This window comes from Homo sapiens, chromosome X, assembly GCF_000001405.40.
Source record: "Homo sapiens chromosome X, GRCh38.p14 Primary Assembly".
NCBI lineage: Eukaryota > Metazoa > Chordata > Mammalia > Primates > Hominidae > Homo > Homo sapiens.
The window spans coordinates 93,533,162-93,554,644 of NC_000023.11; the positions used below are offsets into that span (position 1 = coordinate 93,533,162).

The following is a 21,483-nucleotide window of genomic DNA, read 5'->3' on the forward strand; positions in this document are numbered from 1 at the left end:
ACAAATAACGGAATAAAAGCTGGCCACCCCAGCCAGCAGTGGCAACCTGCTCAGGTTCCCTTCCATGCTGTGGAAGCTTTGTTCTTTCGCTCTTCACAATAAATCTTGCTGCTGCTCACTCTTTGGGTCTGTGCCATCTTTAAGAGCTGTAACACTCACTGCAAAGGTCCGCAACTCCATTCTTGAAGTCAGTGAGACCATGAACCCACCAGAAGGAACCAACTCCAGAAACAATTCTAGCATTTTCTACACATGTAAAATAATATCTTGACTTTGTCCTAGTCACTGTTTGTCTCCCATGAAATTAGTTACACCATGTGGCCAATAAAAATCGGAGATTCTCCTAGACAAGAACAGCTACACCATCAACAAACCGACTTTGGCTAAAAGACGTATTATTTACATGGGTAAAAATAATTCTCATTTTTTATATATAAATAAAAGGAATATAATAAATTGACTATAAGTATCTCCATTGGGTTCATAAACATGCTACTTCGGAGGTAAAATTTTTATTTTATTTTTAAAGAGAGAGTCTTTCCATGTTGCCTAGCCTGGTCTTGAACTACTGGCTTCAAGCAATCCTCCCACCTCAGCCTCCCAAGAAGCTAGGATTACATACACAAGGCTCCATGCCAAGCTAAAAATCTTATTTTTGACAACTGTCATTACTAAGAAAGCGTCTATGTTCCAAAAGCTTTGCACTTTCAGAAGCTGGTTCATAGTATTGGTGCTTTATTGATGCGAGTAAAATGTCTAATTTAAGATAAAGATACAGGGAGATAAAAAACAAAACAGTAGTTCAACTTTTCACAGCTCTATTCTTCTGTCATAAGGCAGCAAACATCTGTCAATAGCCCTTGTGTGCCAAAGGACATTTGAGAAATATTACTTTATATACCATGGTTTTATGGTAATTTGCCATGTGGTAATCCTTTCTTTATCTGAGAAAGTAGATGGACTTGATAAAATGTCGGTAAAGGGAGCTTGGTACATAGGCTATTTCACCCACAATTGACAATTTAATGTTATAACCATGAAAGCAATAAATGTAACATGGTATTCAAAATCTTAATAACTTGTTCTAGGTTCTGAGAACATTTGCCTACTTTCTACTTTGTAATATTCTCTAGAGACAATAGGAAGCCCACAGTTCTGTACACCAAGTGAGAAAGAGGGTGCTATTAATACCTAATATCACTGTCAATTCACTCAAGCAAAAAATAATAAAAATAAAATAAAATAAAATAAAAAGGAGAGCAGATGACCTTGCTCTCTGCAAAGCAGTGATATGTTGTGTCCACAGATGATATTCCAACCTAAAATGAGAGGGTGGAGTATAGTGGAGATATCTTCAGTGTTTGAACTTGTGAAGTAATTCAAATAAAGATAGATTACTAGGAGAAAACTGAGAAACTCGAACAGACATTACCTGATTAATATTGATTATTATCTTGAGTAGAAAGCTCAAGTGCCTTCTTTGAAAAAAATCATTTGACTTATATCTGTTTCTTGGAGTTTTAAATCTTTCACCTTCTGCCTTATAAATAAAAGAGTCAGTTATTTAATATAGAACTGGGCCAAGAGAAGTGAGTCTCCCATCAAACACTCCTTCTCTGTCTTGAACATTTGACTCTAACCCACTTAGTTCGCACATATGCTGTTTTAACTTAGATATTATAAAATCCTCACAACTGCCCTATAAAGTGTGTAAAAATTGTTCTTTTAACTCACTAATTTATTACTAATAAAGATGCTTCTAGAGGTTTACCTCTAGGCTTTCTGACTAGAACTGTAATTTCTGGACATACATAATATTATAATGAAATTACACTATAAAATCATTTGGACAGCCCAAAAGTTTGCCCTATATATTTATTCTTTTGGAGCTTACTAGTGTTGTCTTTCAGAGAACCATTAATATAAATATGCATAGCCCAAAATGATATTCACTAAATGATTGTATTTCTTAATGTTCTGTTACGTTTTTTTCTAATAATCAGCCAGAAGCTTAGGTATTCTTAAACAGATCTTTAATGATGTTTAAGATCAATACTGAAAGTTATTTCTAAAGCATCTTCCCTTTAGTAGAGAGCCTCGACCTTTGCTGACTCACATGTATTCCTAGTTGTAAACTTTGGATTTTTCAACCTTCTCTAAATTAGATTGGTTGGCCTAATGGCTACCTTACACTCCAGTAAACAAATATGATGTAATTTTAGTTTACATAAGTCTATCTCCATTAAATTTATGCAAGAAGTGTGCATTAAGTTACTGGGTTAAAAGATGTTTGCAATGGAGTCAAACTAGAAAACATTAATGATATTCTAACTTACTCTGAATTTCCAATAACCCAGACTAGGTTGGTAGTTGCTTAACAGAGTGGGGAGAATATTGGAAGGCTTTTTAAGAATAATTTGCAAAGTTAAATGTATTAAATTATGTGATATTATCTATTTAAAAATATATGCTTTCTTTGGAAAATAACTGAGATTTTTTTTCTGGCTATCTACCTGCTATTATTCACATTTTTGTTCCCAAAAATAATCATGATACTTAAAACATCTATTATATACTATGTACAAGGGACATCACCTTGCATAAGTTTTATAGAATCCTCACATCTGCCCTTCATATGAGAAGAGTTAATGTCCTCTACTTTATAGCTAAGGGTATAGAGGTGCAGTAATTTAGCTAAGTTCACAGCTAACAAATAGCATCCACTATTTAAACATAGTGTGATATGAGAAGAGTTAATGTCCTCTACTTTATAGCTAAGGGTATAGAGGTGCAGTAATTTAGCTAAGTTCACAGCTAACAAATAGCATCCACTATTTAAACATAGTGTGATATGAGACTCGACTCTACCACTTGCACCTTTAACCATTGTTTCCTTTATCGCATGCATGCGTGCACATGTGCGCAAAATTTAAAAGATACCATGGCAACAAATAAGCCATGTTCTTTTTTCCCCTAATGCTAAGGCAAAATAAAATGCCTAGTTAATATAGTGTAGTAGTTAAAAGCATAGAGTCTGGATTGACAAGGTTGGAATCCAGTTTCTTCCATCTTTTACCTTTATATAGCTAACCAAGTCACTTAACCTGTTGAGCCTCCACTTCCCCAGATATAATGTAATAATAATAATACTTCCCTCATGAAGCTATTTGAAAGGAAAGTAACAGCAAGTGCAGGAAAGAAACATCATTTATTGAATGTCTATATGCCAGTTACTACAGTAGGTATTTAGGTTCATTGAGTCCTCTTGGAAAAGCTATAAGTATCAATATTCTATTTTACCAATGAAGAAACTACAATTCAGAGGTAAGTGATGTACTCAAGCATATAAGGTAGTAAATGGCCAATCCAGGATTAGAATCCAACCGGGGCCCATTTGGTCACAAAGTCTATGTACCTTCCCACTATGCTAATTTGTTTTTTAGGTGAAGAGAAATGAGTATTGATAGGAAAGATGGAGTGGCAAAGACCAATTTGACCAAATTCCCCATTTCTATTTTTGAGTATGTTTGGGGGCGACATGTGTTCCATAAATATCTATTGTGCACAAAGTAAGTTTATTTTGTTCTGCCTCAACTAGCAATGGACCACTCATACATTTTCCCTTCTCAAGGGAAAAATAGATTTGATGGGGGAGTGTACTATTTTTCATATATTTACCCATTAATTTGTCAGGCATTTACTGAGCTACTTTTATGTTCCAGGCATTGTGTTAGATGCTGAGAATACAGAACTTTAGAAAAGAAAAGAAGGAAAAAAAATGAAAAAAGAACCCAAACGATAAACACAAAACAAAACAAAATCATAAATAGCCCCTGCCCTCAAAGAGCTACTTGCATTAGCACATATGTGGAAGAGGTTGTTAAAGGGAAGCCATTTATACACAAGATACTTCTTTTTTTCTTTCTGGCTCCCAAAATAGAATCTTACCCCTAGGAATTGGTACGAGAAGATGAAGGAAACCAGCAAAAATAGTTACTCCAATCTATCTCAATTCTGCTTTTAAAGTTAATCTCCCAATATTTATGGCCTGTAAGATGGGGTATATACCCAGCACTTTGGGAGGCAGAGGCGGGCAGATCATGAGGTCAGGAGTTCGAGACCAGCCTGGCCAACATAGTGAAACCCCGTCTCTACTAAAAATACAAAAATTAGCCAACCATGGTGGCACGCACCTGTAGTCCCAGCTACTCGGGAGGCTGAGGCAGGAGAATCGCTTGAACCCAGGAGGCGGAGTTTGTGGTGAGCCAAGATTGCACCACCGCACTCCAGCCTGGGCAACAGAGCGAGACTCCATCAAAAAAATAATAAATAAAGAAAAAGAAAATAAAGAAAAAGAAAAAAGAAAAAGATTGGGAATATAAAAACATAGGGAGTCTTAACATTCTGATGTGTCTTTTCAAAACTGAATGGCATGTTCCTTTTAAACAATGCCTTCATATAAAGAAATAGAATGAGTGTATCTTTAGACATTTAAGAAAGTTCAACAGTTATTTAAGTTGTTTTAACTTTTTTTCCTCTCATCCCAACTTTTCCAGACACAGCAGAAAAAAAAGAACAGGAGCTATTTCAAAAGTCATAGCAAAAAAGGGGGACTCTGTTATAGCCACAAGATTATAGAACCAAAATAATTACAAAGTGGTTTTTAAGCTAAGGCTAAATTTCCATCAGTATTCCTTATGAATGAGGTTTTATTGTTTTTTGTGATTTGTTTTTTCTTTTTTTAGTGTTAATAGCTAATTGTATGCATCTGCAGCATGAAGTATGCTTTGTTCGGATTCTTTTCTATTAAATGGCATCACTACAAAGAATATGGGCAAGAAACAAATTTCAAGACTATGTATCCCATTCCATCTTATTGATTACGTATTTCTGTGAATTAGCCTGAATCTCATCCACAAAGCTGACTGGTTAAAGGAGGATTACAAGTGAATAAGAAATTCATGGAGAAGGAAAGATGATGTAAAATATATTGAAAATAATGGCAAAAACCTCATTTACTTTTTCATGAACCTAATAAATGGGGGCACATCTGACTCTAGAAAAACTTATATCCAAAATCATAAAGAAAAGTTAAGATGTCCTACTGAAATGGATGAATAAGTTAAACATTTTCCTACCTGTATCTTTTAGCTTCTAAGTCATTTCTTTCGATATCAAAGCTGCCAAGGTCATCTTTGACTCTGTGTGTGTGTGTATGTGTGTGTGTGTGCACGCGTGTGCGTGCACGCGTGCACGTATGTTCATTTGATAGTTACACATTTTGAAAGCTCAACGTATTTCAAGTTGCTAAAATTCCAAACAGAGCTGTAAATAAAATAATCCTGGTTGCAAAGTTAAACGACACAGTACAGAGGATTTCAGTACTGACTAGTACTACCGTTAATTTTTGAAGGAAAATGTACGTGTCCTCATATATTGGAATTTTTCTCTGGAAAAAAATAATTTTCCCTTATATTGCTAAAAAATAATAAGATTAAAATGCACCATTCATTTTTTTTTTAATTTCTGTATTTTCTTTGCTTGGGTTATTTTCCATAATTTTGTTGTTGTTCTTTGGCTGCTAGCTCATCTTCCTTATCTTATAGTGCCACCTATTGGTATATCAGAAATAGTGAGGATTTTAAAATGGACAAAAGTATAGAAATGTGCCTAAATAAAGCTCACTTCGCTTCAGTAGTCAAGTTCTGATAGAGGAGCGGGATCTATGCTTTTGCCCTTATAATTATTTGTTCCTAGGGAAAAAGCAATATTCAACCATTTTCACTATTCTTTCCTCCAGGGTATTTGATCTAGGTGGTCTTGTTAGCAGTTATGTAGTAAATCCATTTCCCCAAATCTGGCGAACCACAGTAAAAATAAAACTGGATGATTTGGGCTTCTATATTAGAGCTTGATATTTTAGGAAATGAGGTAAGACTTCTTTCTTCTTTATGCATGAAAAGAAAGCTTCTAGAAGGCAACCATGTCCTTCTCAAGGACATAGCAAATTAGCACGTATTTTTAGAGAGCTACATTTGATAAGTTTTACATATAGCCTGTGGTGAAGCTGAAGAAGTGGATAAAGGGGCTATCAGGTGGTTATTACAGAGATTTTATTCAAGAATTCTCTATAACCCTCATCTCTGTAGGGGTAACTCTTTTACCTTGCACCTGAGTGCAGGACTGGGCCCCAACCCTGGCATCCGGATAATTTGAATGTGGATCTCTGGAGGTTTGCTCCCCTTCACTAGGATTGTAAGACATGGGCTGGAATAGGAATAACTTCAAAGAACTATACCCTCACCATGGTGATAAGGGGCTCATTGCTTGCCCTTTGCTGATTTCAAAACAGTGAATAAAGCCTAAATTGCCTGTTCTAAATGAGTGACAAAGAGCAATAGAGAGAAAAAAGTCTGTATCAGGACTCTTCCTATCTGTGCCAAACATTATGTCCAAATTGAAAATAAACTGGGAAAGAGGATGAATATAGGAGAAATTCCTGACTATAAGAACTCTAGGAATATTCCACTTATTGACAAGCTTGTCCTATTCCAATGTTACTAATCCCATTATTGATGGATTAATAATGAACTATTGTAAAATAATAAGAATCTATTAATTACTTTAGAAAGGTAACAATGCTACCTGTGTGTGCCAATGGGCCTCCTATTCTCTAGCATTGAACTACATAATTATACTTAGAAAAGAAATGTTGGATAATAAACAATCAAAAGACTTATAATGATGTGGTCTTCAGAAGGCTGAAAGCATAAGATAATTTTAGTAATTCAGTGTCACCATTAAAGTTACTTTTTACCTGGATATTGAAAATAACTAGCATATTGGGAATATGTCCTTAACTTTTAGCAAGCAGAGTGCATCCTTTAAAAACAAAAATCCCTTCCGTTGTAGATCTCTTAAAGTAAGACAAACATCCTCAACTCTTTCAGGTACAGGCATTCTCTGAGTGGTGATCAACCAAATGGACTCTAAAGATTCAGTCGACAGAGCCTCTGTGGATTTACTTAAGGACAGGAAAATCATGTTTTAAGGAACAGACAAGCCAGGAAATGCACCAAGGCAATCAACTCAGTGAAGTATTCTAGTACCCCTGCATAAGAAAAAAAGAATTCCTTTCTTATTTAAATGTCTCTATAATGGGAGATACGATGGTGAGAGCCCCTCCTAATATGAGTTAAATATAATAATTATATCTTTATAAAAGCTTATTCAAAGTTATTCTCACTCAGTTTCACTGAACATCTTCCAAAATAACCTAAATGAAAATTCCAGTGGTATTAAGAAAAAGAGATATTAACTCTATTTGTCACTCAAAAGATAAGATTCCTTTCATTCATTTTTAAACGGTGTATGCTACAAAGGAGAAGAAACTTGTTTCTCAGACCTTAGAGTCGAATGGTTTACTTTAGACTCTGAGAGGTGGTCTCTATTAAGTGAAGCAATAACAATGGTAGCTAGCATTTATTAAGCACATACTACATTCTAAGGGCTATGCTAAAAGATTTTGATCCTAATAACATAGGAAAAGTACTATTATTCTTATGTAACTTGCCCAAGGTTACTCCTCTAATAAGTAGCAGAGCAGATACTAAAACCTAGGCCATTCTAACAAGTCAATATGCCATAGTACCTCATCATATAAAGGTAAGCAGAAGGGCCTATGGATGAACAGTTTTGGAGAGATCTGCAAGACTTCCCAGAAGAGATGATCATCCAAGATGAAACCTAAAGGAGAAACAGAAATTACTCAAGCAAAGCAGAAATAAGAATGTTTTAGGCTAAAGAAAAAGTGTAAGAAGGCATAAAAAGAAAAAATAAGGTTTGTTTCATGAACTGCATGAAACAAACTCCTCTCACTGTGTGAGAGGAGTAGTAAGGAGAAATCATCATGAAAAGATTAGAAGATCATGGAAAACCTTACATGACAGGTGAGAGAATTTGAAATTCATCAAGAGGCATTGAAAGACCCATTTTAAGAAGGGGAGTGCCATGATCAGATTTATGTTTTTGAAAAAATAAGTCAACTCTGGATCAAGAGTACAAAACACATTGGACAGAAGCAAGACTAGAAATAAGAATAGTTAGGAGGCTGTTTCAATGATCCATGAAAGAAATTATAATGGCCTGAAGTAAAAGAGTTGCTGAGGAGATGGAGAGAGAGGAACAAAGTTGAGAGATATTTTAGACATAGAAATAAGAAGACATAAAGACTGAATGTTGTCAGTGAAGAACAGAGAGGACTCAAGTATGACTTTTAGGTCTCTGGCTCAGACCCCTGGTGGATACAAAAATTGAGACTGAGAGAAAGATTTTAGAGCTTATGGATTTATACATGCCTGCTGTAATCCCCTCCGATGAATTGTTAGCCTTTTTAAAAGATTCCAGGGGAAAACTCAAAAGTCTCCTACAGAGCTAGAATATTGAAACATCTTCTTCATTTGATTAGTATTCACAGGGTGCATTGTGCCAGTATGGTGTTAGGCACTGGGGAAGGATGACAAAAAGAAGTATAAGTTATGGCATCTCCCCTCTAACAGTGAAGACAAAACATACAAACCTAAAAATACATGACAGTACAGAAGTGACTGCCAGAATAGGTGAAGATATAGCAAAATCAGCTAACAATTTGATAGTATAGTAATACATTAGTACATACACAGGTCGAGCATCCCTAATCCAAAAACCCAAAATCCAAAATGCTCCAAAATTTAAAACTCTTTGAGTGGCAATATGATGTCCTAAGTGAAACATTCCACACCTGCCCTCATGTGATTAATCACAGTCAAAACTCTGTTTCATGCACAAAACTTTTTAAAAATAATGTATAAAATAACCCTCAGTCCATGTGTTTAAGATGTATATAAAACATAAATGAATTATGTGTTTAGACTTGGGTACTATCCCCAATATATTTTATTAGGTATATGCAAATTTCCCCAAATCTGAGAAATCCAAAATCTGAAACACTTCTCATCCCAAGCATTACAGATAAGGGCTACTCAGCCTGTATTATTAGTCTAGATAGGATAGTTGATGCTGTGATGTAAATTAACAAAGGCCTATTGTATGTGTAGTAATATCTTCAGAACACATGTCCTCAATAAGGTGGCTAGAATTTGACAATGACTTTCTCAGGGTACTTTCTCTTTCCAGGTAGTTTCTCTTCCCCATTTCTTTCTCTTTCCCAGGAAGAGAAAGTCAGGAGGTTAACTTTAAAGTTTTGGTGGTGTGGACAACAGCAGAGAACAGTGATGCTTCTGTATGCCCCAAAATAGAAAAGAATAAAACATTGGTGAACAGTTGTAATATATACAATGCTACATGCCAAGTACCAAGCTAAGTCTTTTCACATATTAATTTATTTAACCCTTACAAAAAAATGAGTCAGACACTATTATTAGCCCTGTTTTATAGGCACAGAAACACACATGGTGAGGTTAAATAACTTGTCCCATGTCAAATGCCTAGTAAATGGTATAATTAGAATATAAACCCCAGGGATTCTGGCTCAAGAATTCTATATCATAAGTGTTCTGCTATGCCAATACACATGACAACTCTTATGCTTATTCACCAGGTAGAAGAAATAAATATAAGAAACTATTTTGTCTTGTCTTGTACTTTGAGTGAGCATGGTGTGTTTGGGGAACAGAAAAGGAGAATGGCATCTCTGAAACAAGGGTATTGTCTTGGGAAATGTATTTGTCTGTCTCGCATTGCTACAGACTACCTGAGACTGGGTAACTTATGAAGAAAAGAGGCTTAATTGACTCACAGTTCTGCAGGCTGTACAGGAAGCATGACTTGGGAGGCCTCAGGAAACTTGCAATCATGGTGGAAGGTGAAGGGGAGGCAGACACACCTTCATATGGAAGAGGAGGAGACAGAGAGAAGAGGGAAGTGCTACACACTCTTAAAACAACCAAATCTCGTGAGAACTCACTATCTTGAGAACAGCAAGGGGGAAGTCCGCCCCTGTGATCCAATCACCTCTCACCAGTCCCCTCCTCCAACATGGAGGATTACAATTAGACATGAGATTTGGATGGGACCACAGAGCGAAATCATATCATTCCACATTTGGACCCTCCCAGATCTCATGTCTTTCTCACATTGCAAAATACAATCATGCCTTCTCAACAGTCCCTCAATGTCTTAATTCATTTTAGCATTCATTCAAAAGCCCAAGTCCAAAGTCTCATCTGAGACAAGGCAAGTCCCTTTTGCCTATGAGCTTGTAAAATCACAAACAAGCTATTTACTTCCAAGACACAATGGGTGTATAGGTATTGGGTAAATGCTCCTGTTCCAAAAAAGAGAAATTGGCCAAAACAAAGGGCCCCATGCAGTTCAAAACAGCAGGGCAGTCATTATATCTTAAAACTCCAAAATAATCTCCTTTGACTCCATGTCTCACATCCAGGGCACATCAATGCAAGGGGTGGACTCCCAAGGCCTTGGGCATCTCTGCTCCTTTGGCTCTGCAGGGTACAGCCCCCTTGGTTGTTTTCACTGGCTGGAGTAGAGTGCCTGTGGATTGTCCAGGTACATGGTGCAAGCTGTTGGTGGATCTACCATTTTGGGTTCTGAAGGATGGTGGCCCTCTTCTTGCAGCTTCATTGGGCAGTGCTCCAGTGGAGACACTGTGTGGGGGCTCCAACTCCATATTTACCCTTTGCATTGCACTAGTAGAGGTTCTCCATGAGGGCTCTGCCCCTGCACCAGACTTCTGCTTGAACATCCAGGTGTTTCCATACATCCTCTAAAATCTTGATGAAGGCTCCTAAGCTTCAACTTTTGCCCTCTGTGGACCCACAGGCTTAACACTATGTGGAAACCACCAAGGTTTGTGGCTTGCTTCCTCTGAAACAGCCGTCTGAGATGTATTTGAGGCCCTTTTAGCCACAGCTGGAGCTGGAGCAGCTGCGATATAGGGAGCAGTATCCCGAGGTTACACAGGGCAGCCGGGCTCTTGGCCCACAAAACCATTCTTCCTTTCAAGGCCTCTAGGCCTGTGATTAGAGGGGCTACCACAAGTCTCTGAAACACCTTCAAGGCATTTTCCCCATTGTCTTAGCTATTAACATTCAGCTCCTATTTACTTATGCAAATTTCTGCAGCCAGCTTGAATTCCTCCCCAGAAAATGAAATTCTCTTTTCTACCAATCGTCAGGCTGCAAATTTTCTAAACTTTTATGCTCTGCTTCCCTTTTAAATATAAGTTATAGTTTCAGATCATCTCTTTGCTCCCACATATGACCATATGCTGAAATTTCTTCTGCCAGATAACCTAAATCATCACTCTCAAGTACAAAGTTCCACAGACCTCTAGATTGAGATACATCCCCAGTTTTTTTTGCTAAATCATAGCAAGAATGACCTATACTCCAGTTCCCAATAAGTTTCTTATCTCCATCTGAGACCACCTCAGCCTGCACTTCATTGTCCATATCACTAGTGCATTTTGGTCACAACAATTTAACAAGCCTCTAAGAAGTTCCAAACTTTCCCTCATCTTCATGTCTTTTTCTGAGCCCTCTATATTGTTCCAGCTTCTGCCCATTACCTAGTTCCAAAGTTGCTTTCACATTTTCAGGTATCTTTATAGCAATGCCCTACTTCTCTGGTACCAATTTTCTGTATTAGTCCTTTCTTGCATTGCTATAAAGAATTACCTGGGTAATTTATGTAGAAAACAGTTTTAATTGACTCACAGTTCTGCAGGCTGTACAGGAAGCATGGCTTGGGAGGCCTCAGGAAACTTACAATCATGGAAGAAAGCGAAGGGGAAGTAGGCTCATCTTCACATGGCAGAGCAGGGGAGAGAGAGAGAAGGGGGAAGTGCTACACACTTTTAAACAACCAGATCTCATGAGAACTCAGTCACTAACAGCAGAAGAGCAAGGAGGAGATCCACCCCTATGATGCAATCTTCTACCAGGTCTCTCCTCCAACACTGAGGATTGCAATTTGACATGAGATTTGAGTGGGAACACAGAGCCAAACTGCATTCAGAAAATAACAGAAACTAGAGTTATCTAATATCATATTCATCTGAAAATAATTCAGAACAGTGCTGGAGTGGACATGGAGAACCTATATATCTTGCTGGCCTTTCACAAGCAGTGCTGCAAGAGCTGTATACTGTAGCCTGCCCAAACCAAATATGGGTACATGTTCACATACCTAATGCTTTAACGTACTGAAGCCACAAAGACATAATTAGAAGTAAGTATCTTTGTGCTCAGGGCAGTTGATCAATTAATAAATATTTATTGAGCCCTCTATGTGGCAGTCACAGTTCTAGTGACCAAGTTAGAGACACTGTGCTAGTGACACCACAGCAAACCCCAAATAAAGAACCAGTCCCTTCAATTTATAATCTAGCCATTATACTCTGATATCAGTTGCAGTTATTTAATAACAAAAAATTACTTTGGGTAATTTAAGCTAAACATAAGTTTTTTTAAAAAAAAAAGAGAGAGAGAGAGAAGAGGAGCTCACAAAATCAACAGGAAACTGAAAATGTAGTTATGGAAAGAATTGGGAACAAAGGTAGATCTTGAGAGCTTGGAAGCAAACTGCAGAAACAACCTAATCAGCGCCTCACCACTGTTAGGAGTGAAGAAATGTCAACTGACTTACTTTTCTGTTATCCTGTATTCAAAATTCAGGTTCCAGGAAGAAACTTTTAACTTGTCTAGCTTGGTTTATATGGCCACCCTTTAGTTAGAAAAAGTGCGGCCCAATTAGAGTACCATCAGATGGTATTCAGTAAAGAAGAGATTATTTCTCAAAATGAAATTGGGGTGCTTTTACAAAGAGAATGGATCCTGGGTACTCAAAAATCAACTATAAAACGTGTTAAATTTCAGATCTTTGACACATTTTTTTCCATCATACACTGTTAATAGTAAAGAAAACTAAACATCTATCTCTAGGAATCTAACTAGTGTAGCCTAAAATAGTAAGCCATATCACACTACTATGTCACAGGGCTAGAGTAACCAAAACAGCATGGTACTGGTTAAAAAAAAAAAAAAAAGAAAAGAAAAAAACAGACACACAGAACAATGGAATGGAATGGAGAGCCCAGAAATAAGGCCACACACCTATAACCATCTGCTCTTCAGCAAAGTTGACAAAAACAAGCAATGGGGAAAGGAATCCCCATTCAATAAATTGTGCTTGGATAACTGGCTAGCCATATGCAGAAGACTGAAACTGGACCTTTTCTTTTTATCATATATAAAAATCAATCCAAGATTAATTAAAGATTTAAATGTTGTATTATTCAGGGTTCTGGAGAGGGACAGAATAGAATATGTGTATATATGAAATGGAGCTTATTAGGGAGAATTGGCTCACACAATCATAAGGCGAAGTCCCACGATAGGCCATCTGCAAGCTGGGGAAGAGAGAAGCCGCCAGTGGCTCAGTCTGAGTTTGAAAGCATCAAAACCAGGGAAGCCAACAGTGCAACCTTCAATCTGTGGCCAAAAGCCTGAGAGCCTCTGGCCATTCACTGGTGCAAGTACCAGAGTTTAAAGGCCAAAGAACCTGGAGTCTGATGTCCAATGGCAGAAAGAGTGAAAGCAAGCATCCAGTATGGGAAGATTAAAGAAACCGAAGACTCAGCAAGCAAAGCTATTCCACCTTCTTCCACCTGCTTTGTTCTAGCTGTGCTGGCAGCTGATTGGATGGTGCCCACCCACACTGAAGATGAGTCTGCCTCTCCCAGTGCACTGACTCTAACGTCAATCTCCTCTTGGAATGCCCTCAAAGACACACCCAGAAACAATACTTTACCAGCCATCTAGGCAACCCTTAATCCAGTTAAGTTGACATCTAATATTAACTATCACAAGTTGAAACTGTACCCCTTCCTTTCACCATATAAAAAAATCAACTCCAGATTGATTAAATATTTAAATGTAAAACCTAAAAATATAAAAAAAACCTAGAAGAAAACCTAGGAAATATGGTTCTGGACATAGGCCTTGGCAAAGATTTCATGATGAAGACTCCAAAAGCAATTGCAAGAAAAACAAAAATTGACAAGTGGGACCTAATTTAACTAAAGAGCTTCTGCACAGCAAAAGAAAATATCAACAGAGTAATCAAATTACAGAATGGGATAAAATATTTGCAAGCTATGCATCTGACAAAGCTCTAATGTTCAGGATCTATTAGAAATGTAAAATAACCAGCAAAGTACAAGTAATCCCACTAAAAATCGCAAATGACATGAACAGACACTTCTGAAATGAAGACATACACATGAACAACAAACATGAGAAAGAATACTCAATATCACTAATAATTAAAGAAATACAGATCAAAACCACAATAAGACAACATCTCACACTAGTCAGAATGGCTATTATTAAAAAGTAAAAAAATAACAGATGCTGGTAACATTGAAGAGAAAAGGGAATGCTTATACACTGATGGTGGGAAGGTAAATTAGTTCAGCCACTGTGGAAAGCAGTTTGGAGATTTCTCAAAGAACTTAAAGCAGGGTTGCCATGTGACTGAGCAATCCCATTACTGGGTACACACCCAAAGGAATATAAATTGTTTTACCATAAAGACTCATGAACACATATGTTCATTGCAGCACTTCTCACAATAGCAAAGACAAGTAATCAACCTAGATGCCCATGAGTGGTGGGCTGGATAAAGAAAATGTGGTACATATATACTATGGAATACTACACAGCTATAAAGAAGAATAAGATTATGTCCTTTGCAGCAATATGAATGTGGCTGGAGGCCATTATCCTAAGCGAATTAATGCAGTAACAGAAAACCAAATACCACATATTCTCACTTCTAAGTGGGAGCTATTGAGTATACATGGACACAAAAAAAGGAACAACAGGCACCGGGGCCTACTTGAGGGTAGAGGGTAGAGGAGTGAGGGTTGAAGAACTACCTATCAGGTACCATGAGCATTACCTGAGTAGTTAGATAATCTGTACACCAAACTCCTGCAACATGCAATTTACTCATGTAACAAACCTGCACATGTTCTCCCTGGAGCTAAAATAAAAGTTGGGAGGAAAAAATAAACATAAAAATAAAAAAAGCCATTCAAAAAAAATGAACATGCACACACACACACACACACACACACAAATACATGCACACACACACAGACACCACTTATATTTAAAACTTGTATATATTTTCCATTCTACTTAATAAACTATATACCTCTATTTAATATAAACTTGAGGAAGACAAGCAAACAAGAAACTACGGTGCTTGTACCAACATCTAAAGCTCATTGAGCTCTTAATCTGGAGCCTATTTTATATATACTGTCTCATAATATACATAATTCCATACAGTCCTTTAAAATGGAAACTAAAATAAGGAAATTGACACTGAAAGAGACTAAACAACTTTTGCATTCACCTCAGGCCTGTGCAATCTAAGGCTTGTGCTCTTCACTGCTATGCTCTGTTATGTATTTATAATTTACAAGCACTTTGGGTTTATTACAGGTAAATAGCATTTGCTTTTGTACCCACTAAGAATAGTAGTTTTACTGATTTTTTTATTATTCTAAAATTTCAAAAAAGAGTCACTTTTTCAAGCTTTCATTGCACTAGAGGCTTCTACTTTTATAGCAGTTGTCTTGATAATCTTTTATTTATGATTTTAAAAGTAATTTCTTGCTCTGATGAAATGATTTTAAAAGGTGTTTCAATAGCTTTATATATTTATAAATAACATTTAACAATTCTACTTAATAGCAGAATTGTTTATTTTCAGAGTTAAGGTGATGGTCTTTGGTTTCAACCATCTCAAAATGATAACAGAGTATCTTTTTGACAGGCCTTTCATGATAATATAAACCAAATTCTTGAAGACAATTACGAGATTTCTCTTAGGTCTTATTTAAATGTATTTCTGGAAAAATACACTTAAAAATGTCTCTTTACATTCACAAAATATCAGGAAAGACAATAATTCTGCATAGTAGCTAGTGCTAATCTTTCCTTAGCAATGAGAATCACCACAATAGTAAAAAGTGTGAATGGAAATGACATTGTGACACTTGAGCATTCCAATATTTTGAATTCTTAAGGATTTGTAAGATGAAAATGTCTCTTTCGGCCAGGCGCGGTGGCTCACGCCTGTAATCCCAGCACTTTGGGAGGCCGAGGCGGGTGGATCATGAGGTCAGGAGAGCGAGACCATCTGGCTAACATGGTGAAACCCCGTCTCTACTAAAAATACAAAAAATTAGCGGGGCATGGTGGCGGGCACCTGTGGTCCCAACTACTCGGGAGGCTGAGGCAGGAGAATGGCGTGAACCCGGGAGGTGGAGCTTGCAGTGAGCTGAGATCGAGCCACTGCACTCCAGCCTGGGCGACAGAGTGAGACTCCGTCTCAAAAAAAAAAAAAAAGAAAGAAAATGTCTCTTTCATGGTCCAAATAAATGTTTTTGACTGAAGAAGAAAGATGAGGCTATTAAAATGATCTCAGTTCTCCAGGAAAATATTTTATGACTGTGTCTACATAGTGCCAAGGCATGATCAATTTGGTGATTTCAATAAGGTTAAAGAAATCAGGCAATTTTGTGAAAAAAAAAAGAGTGATAATTTGGTTGAATGGGGCTGCTCGGCTGCCTTTAGCCATCAACTGGTATAGTTTGTGTATACAGTTACAACCTGAGTCATTTGTCTTCTCGTGTGTCGCCACTATAATCCATGTCTTCAAAAACACCAACTACAATGTCAAGTTATGAAATCAATGTTAAATAATTGTCATGAGGACACTTTCTTTTTCTGTAGGTTGTAGAAATTAAAAACTGAAATTGAAAAATTTAAAAAGCACCTTGGAGAAAAATAAAGCTATGTTTCAAAGATATGCTTCAAACCAACTAACATTATCTTTTAAATTTATTTTTACAATAAAGATATTTAAAGCTGAAAGAAGATATCCCCTCCATTCCAAAGCAGCATTATGCATTACAGGAGGAGACAGATTACATTTCTATTTTTGAAATAAATTGAAAATATTTATATTTTCCTCAATAAAACACCTACCAAAAATATAACCCCCAAAGTTATTTGAATTTATGCATTTTCTTGATTGAAAATTATAATTTATATTCTATAGACCATTACACATATCTGATTCTTTTTTATAGGAGGGATCATATTGATAAAGAATATGAATTAAGGCCGTGCACAGTGGCTCACGCCTGTAATCCCAGCACTTTGGGCGAGCGGGTCACCTGAGGTCAGGGTTTCAAGACCAGCCTGGCCAACATGGTGAAACCCTGTCTCTATTAAAAATACAAAAATTAGCTGGGCATGGTGGCAGGCACCTGTAATCCCAGCTACCCAAGAAGCTGAGGCAAGAGAATCACTTGAACCCAGGAGGCAGAGGTTGCAGTGAGCCAAGGTCATACCACTGCACTCCAGCCTGGGACCCAGAGCAAGACTCCATCTTAATTAAAAAAAAAAAAAAAAGTAGAAGAAGAATATGAATTAAACATAACAAAGCAGTAGCTGAGTATTGAAGTACTGTGAAAGGAAAAGGAGTAGCCACATAAAAGCAAATTTAAAAAAACTAAAACTGAAACAAACCCAAGCATAATAGAATAGAAAAGTTTGGGCCAAAATATCAGAATCTGTCAGCAACACGTACTTCAATTCAGTTGAATACAATCTACTTTTATCCAAATAATGTGAAAAGAGCAATCACACTATCTAGGAGAGGAGGACAGTTACCCTGTGCTGTAGGAAGCCCATGATATTTAGTATTAGGGAGGCCTCTAGCCATATTTAAAAAAAAATACATAAATGCAATGCTACACAAATACACTGAGCAGGTAATCACAATGTTTTTTTGTTTTTTTTTTTCAGAAAAATTATGTGCTATATTTATACTTCTCCATATATTCAGAGTTTGTGTAGATGTGAAAGCCATGTTTCTTCATTTTGTAAAACCAACCAAACATTGATTATGGAGCACATTTGTGGTTTATGTTGATCTTTAAGGTAATAATATTTTCTAAATCAATCTTTGCACTATCAACAAACATTTCCTGACAACTAACTGTAATGCAGAACTAGGCACTGTCAGGGGGAACACCAGCATTGACAATGGTGTATTTTTTAAGTGTAATAACAATTGAGTCCCTCCTCTTAAGAGCACAGGATCTACAACCAACTACCTTCCCTCCCTTCACCCTTTTCCTCCTTTTTCTTTACATAAATGTTTGTTGAGAGTCCATTTAGTACAGAACACTGTACTGGGTACTGTTAGGGACTCTTCATTTAACTAAAGTGTAGATAAATCAGATATATGAACCAACTTCCACAAGGAATTATTTATGACCAATTTTATAAAGTTCAATTAGGACTAAGAGAGCTTCAAAGCATTATATCTGATGAAATATCCTGGCAATATCATATCTCAGGATTGTGGTACGACTAATATGAGACTCTTTCCAGAGCATCTGTTCTAGCCTGCTCAGGTTTCTGTACCTTCTCTTATACTGTATAAAATTAATGAAGTTTACTGGATTCAATATTTGGTCTCCTACTTAGCTAACTGAGTACCAAAAGCTCATTTCTCTTAATATGATGGCAAAAGTAGTGATTACTTCTGGCTAAATGGAGAGTGGAAAAAAGACAGCTTTTTTTTTTTTTCCTTATTTCCTCAGACTGTGCCAAATTATCATGAAGGATATGGAATGGTTCTTGGTCTGTTTGTGTTCTAATCATCTACATTTCAAGTCTCAAGAGCTTGTTGTTTTCTCTACCACAATTTGCTAACTTATGAAACAGTTTTCTATACCAATTGAGAGTTTGCTCCATTGAGTTCTGGTGCACCAGAAGAGGTAAAGGTTATTTGGTTCTGACAACCCAAATTCAGTGGAAGTATTTTGAGTTGTAGTTTCCTCTTTGATTTTCAAAGAACAATCTGACAAGTTTATTAACAATAAGCACACCATCCATTTTGAATAGAAAAGAAGAAAAGAAAAAGCATAGTGTCTGCCCGTCTATGATAAATAGTGACAAAAGAACAGAACACTAGGCATTCATTGAGTGCCTAGTGTGGGCCAGGTGCTTTGCTGTCCTTATTTAGTATAAAAATTAAAACTCACAAGGCTCAAATCTATATTAGTTTGCTGGGCTACCATAAGAAAGTGCTACAGACTCAGTGGTTTCAACAACAGAAGTTTACTTTCTCAATTTTGGAGGCTAGGTAGAGTCAGAATGCCAAAGCACCCCTTTGGTTGTGGGCTGGGAGTCAGTGTATTGTGCCTGAAATCAAGAACTGTGGTTTGTCCTTTGTTCAAGTTTAGTGCAAGTTTCAGAAGGTAGCAACTGAATCATTCCACCTCCCCATTTCTTTCCTTCCATATTTAAAACTTTAAGAACAACAGAAACACACAAGACACACTGTATTTTTTGCAGAATTGTGAACATAGCACAAATACACTTGTATATCATTATAATAAAGCAAGGCATTTTTGTTCGTAATGTCGACAAAAAACATTAAACTCTGTAAAATATTTGAAGAGATTTATTCTGAGCCAAATATGGGTGAACCTGGCCCGTGAGATGCCCTAAGGTGGTCCAGAAAGGTGGGACAATTTAAAGTGGGTTGGGTCGGGGGGCTTCCAGGCTATAGGTAAATTTAAACATTTTCTGGTTGACAATTGTTTGAGATTGTCTAAAGACCTGGGATTAATAGAAAGGAAATGTTCAGATTAAGAAAAAAGATTGTGGAGACCAAGGTTCTTTTGAAGTCTCACAGTGGCTGCCCTTAGAGACAATAGATGACAAATATTTCCTATTCAGACCTTTAAAAAAGTGCTAGACTCTCAGTAAATCTCTTCAGGATTAGGAGGCCCTGGAAGAAAAAGATCTAGCTATGTTAATAGAGATTCTTTACAGATGCAAATTTTCCCCAACAAAGGACGGCTTTGCAGGGCCATTTCCAAAAGAAACATGTTTTGGGGTAAAATATTTTTATTTTCTTCTTTGTCATGTAATGTTATGCCAGAGTCAGATTGGAAAGTAGGTCACGATATATAGGGTTAAAGAAAATTCAACTGATGAGAATTCACTGTTTGTAGGGCATGACTCCCCAGACCTCTTAGATAGGAGTCTGGGCAAGATAAAACAATCAGAGCTTAGTCCTCAATAACATTAAATAGCAAAAGGTAACTAAATACTGCCAGACTACAGTGCAAAACAACACATTTTTTATATTCCAATAAATATAAATATGATTTATAAAACATTCCCTATTACGGTTTCTCTTTTTAATTTTATTTTTATAAAGTCTTTTGTTATTTTTCTTAAGCATTCTGAATATCTATGATTTAATAATAGCATCTATGAAATAACCAAGTATTAAAGATCAGCAATATTTTACCCAATTGCATCCCATTTTTTAACTTACCATCATTATTATTGGGAGAATCATAATTCATTATCCCTGCTTGATACAACTGAATAGAACTTTACAAGAATGTTTGCTGCACACACATTCTTTGAGTTTTGTTAAAGAGCAGAAGGTTTAAACAGCAAAGAGGAAGGTCAAGAAGGCAAAGTAAAAGTTCCTATTTCATGGAATTACTTGATTTACTTATCGTTTTCCTTGAGGTCTGACAGACATACTGGTGGTTAACTTAACTCCTTCAGATAGATTTAAATGCTCTGGGAAATGTTTATTTGACCTACCCTTGGAGATGTTTTGATATAAGTTCTTTATTGTTTAATAATTTGGTAATTCTAAAAGGTCTTAAGAAATGACCAAGAGCAGAAATAAACATTAACCATTATATATTCCAGTGGTGGATTAAGCTGATAGAAAGGGGTGGGGGTTTCAAGGAGTGGTGATAATGCTTTAAAGGGTTTTACTTGTTGTTTTATAACTGCTGAATCTCATAATCTTCCTGGTTTACCCTAGATGTGTATCATCTGTAAGCTTTCCTTTTTGGCATATTAGATTTATCCTGTCCTTTTCTAGTCTGTAGTGAAGCTCAATAAAAAGGCCAGGTGTTTCATAGTAGATAGCCAAATACAATGTTAATGACAATAGACTGCAGAATAACAGGCATAAAAGCTTTATACACAGAATACAGTAAATATATGTTAGAGTACAATTTCCTTAATTTGCCCCATCAGTCAAAGCTGAAAAGTCTCCTGAAGGTATTGCACCTCTCCCTCCATCTTATTATCTAAGTGCCTTATTTGTTGACTATGTTACATTTTTTTTTCCTCAGGTTTCGTTGAGAAAATAGACTTCTCCCATCTTCTTATGTAGTGTTTAAACAGCTTTACCGAAAAATAAAAATAGGTCAGTAAACTGGGTGGAAAAATTGATGAGACCTCCATTTCAACCCTTACACCCCAACTTTAATAATCAAGACTTCAGTTGATATAAAAAAGTCATATTACCCAGTCTCCTGACACTTTT

The 21,483-nt window shown here is 36.6% G+C and overlaps 1 annotated feature.

Moving 5' to 3' along the window:
• Window positions 19,507-20,250: an enhancer, noted in NCBI's record as "NANOG hESC enhancer chrX:92807667-92808410 (GRCh37/hg19 assembly coordinates)". NCBI's record gives its function as "activates a minimal SCP1, AML or CMV promoter by ChIP-STARR-seq in naive H9 embryonic stem cells {active_cell/tissue: H9 hESC(naive)}" and the evidence as "EXISTENCE:reporter gene assay evidence [ECO:0000049][PMID:30033119]".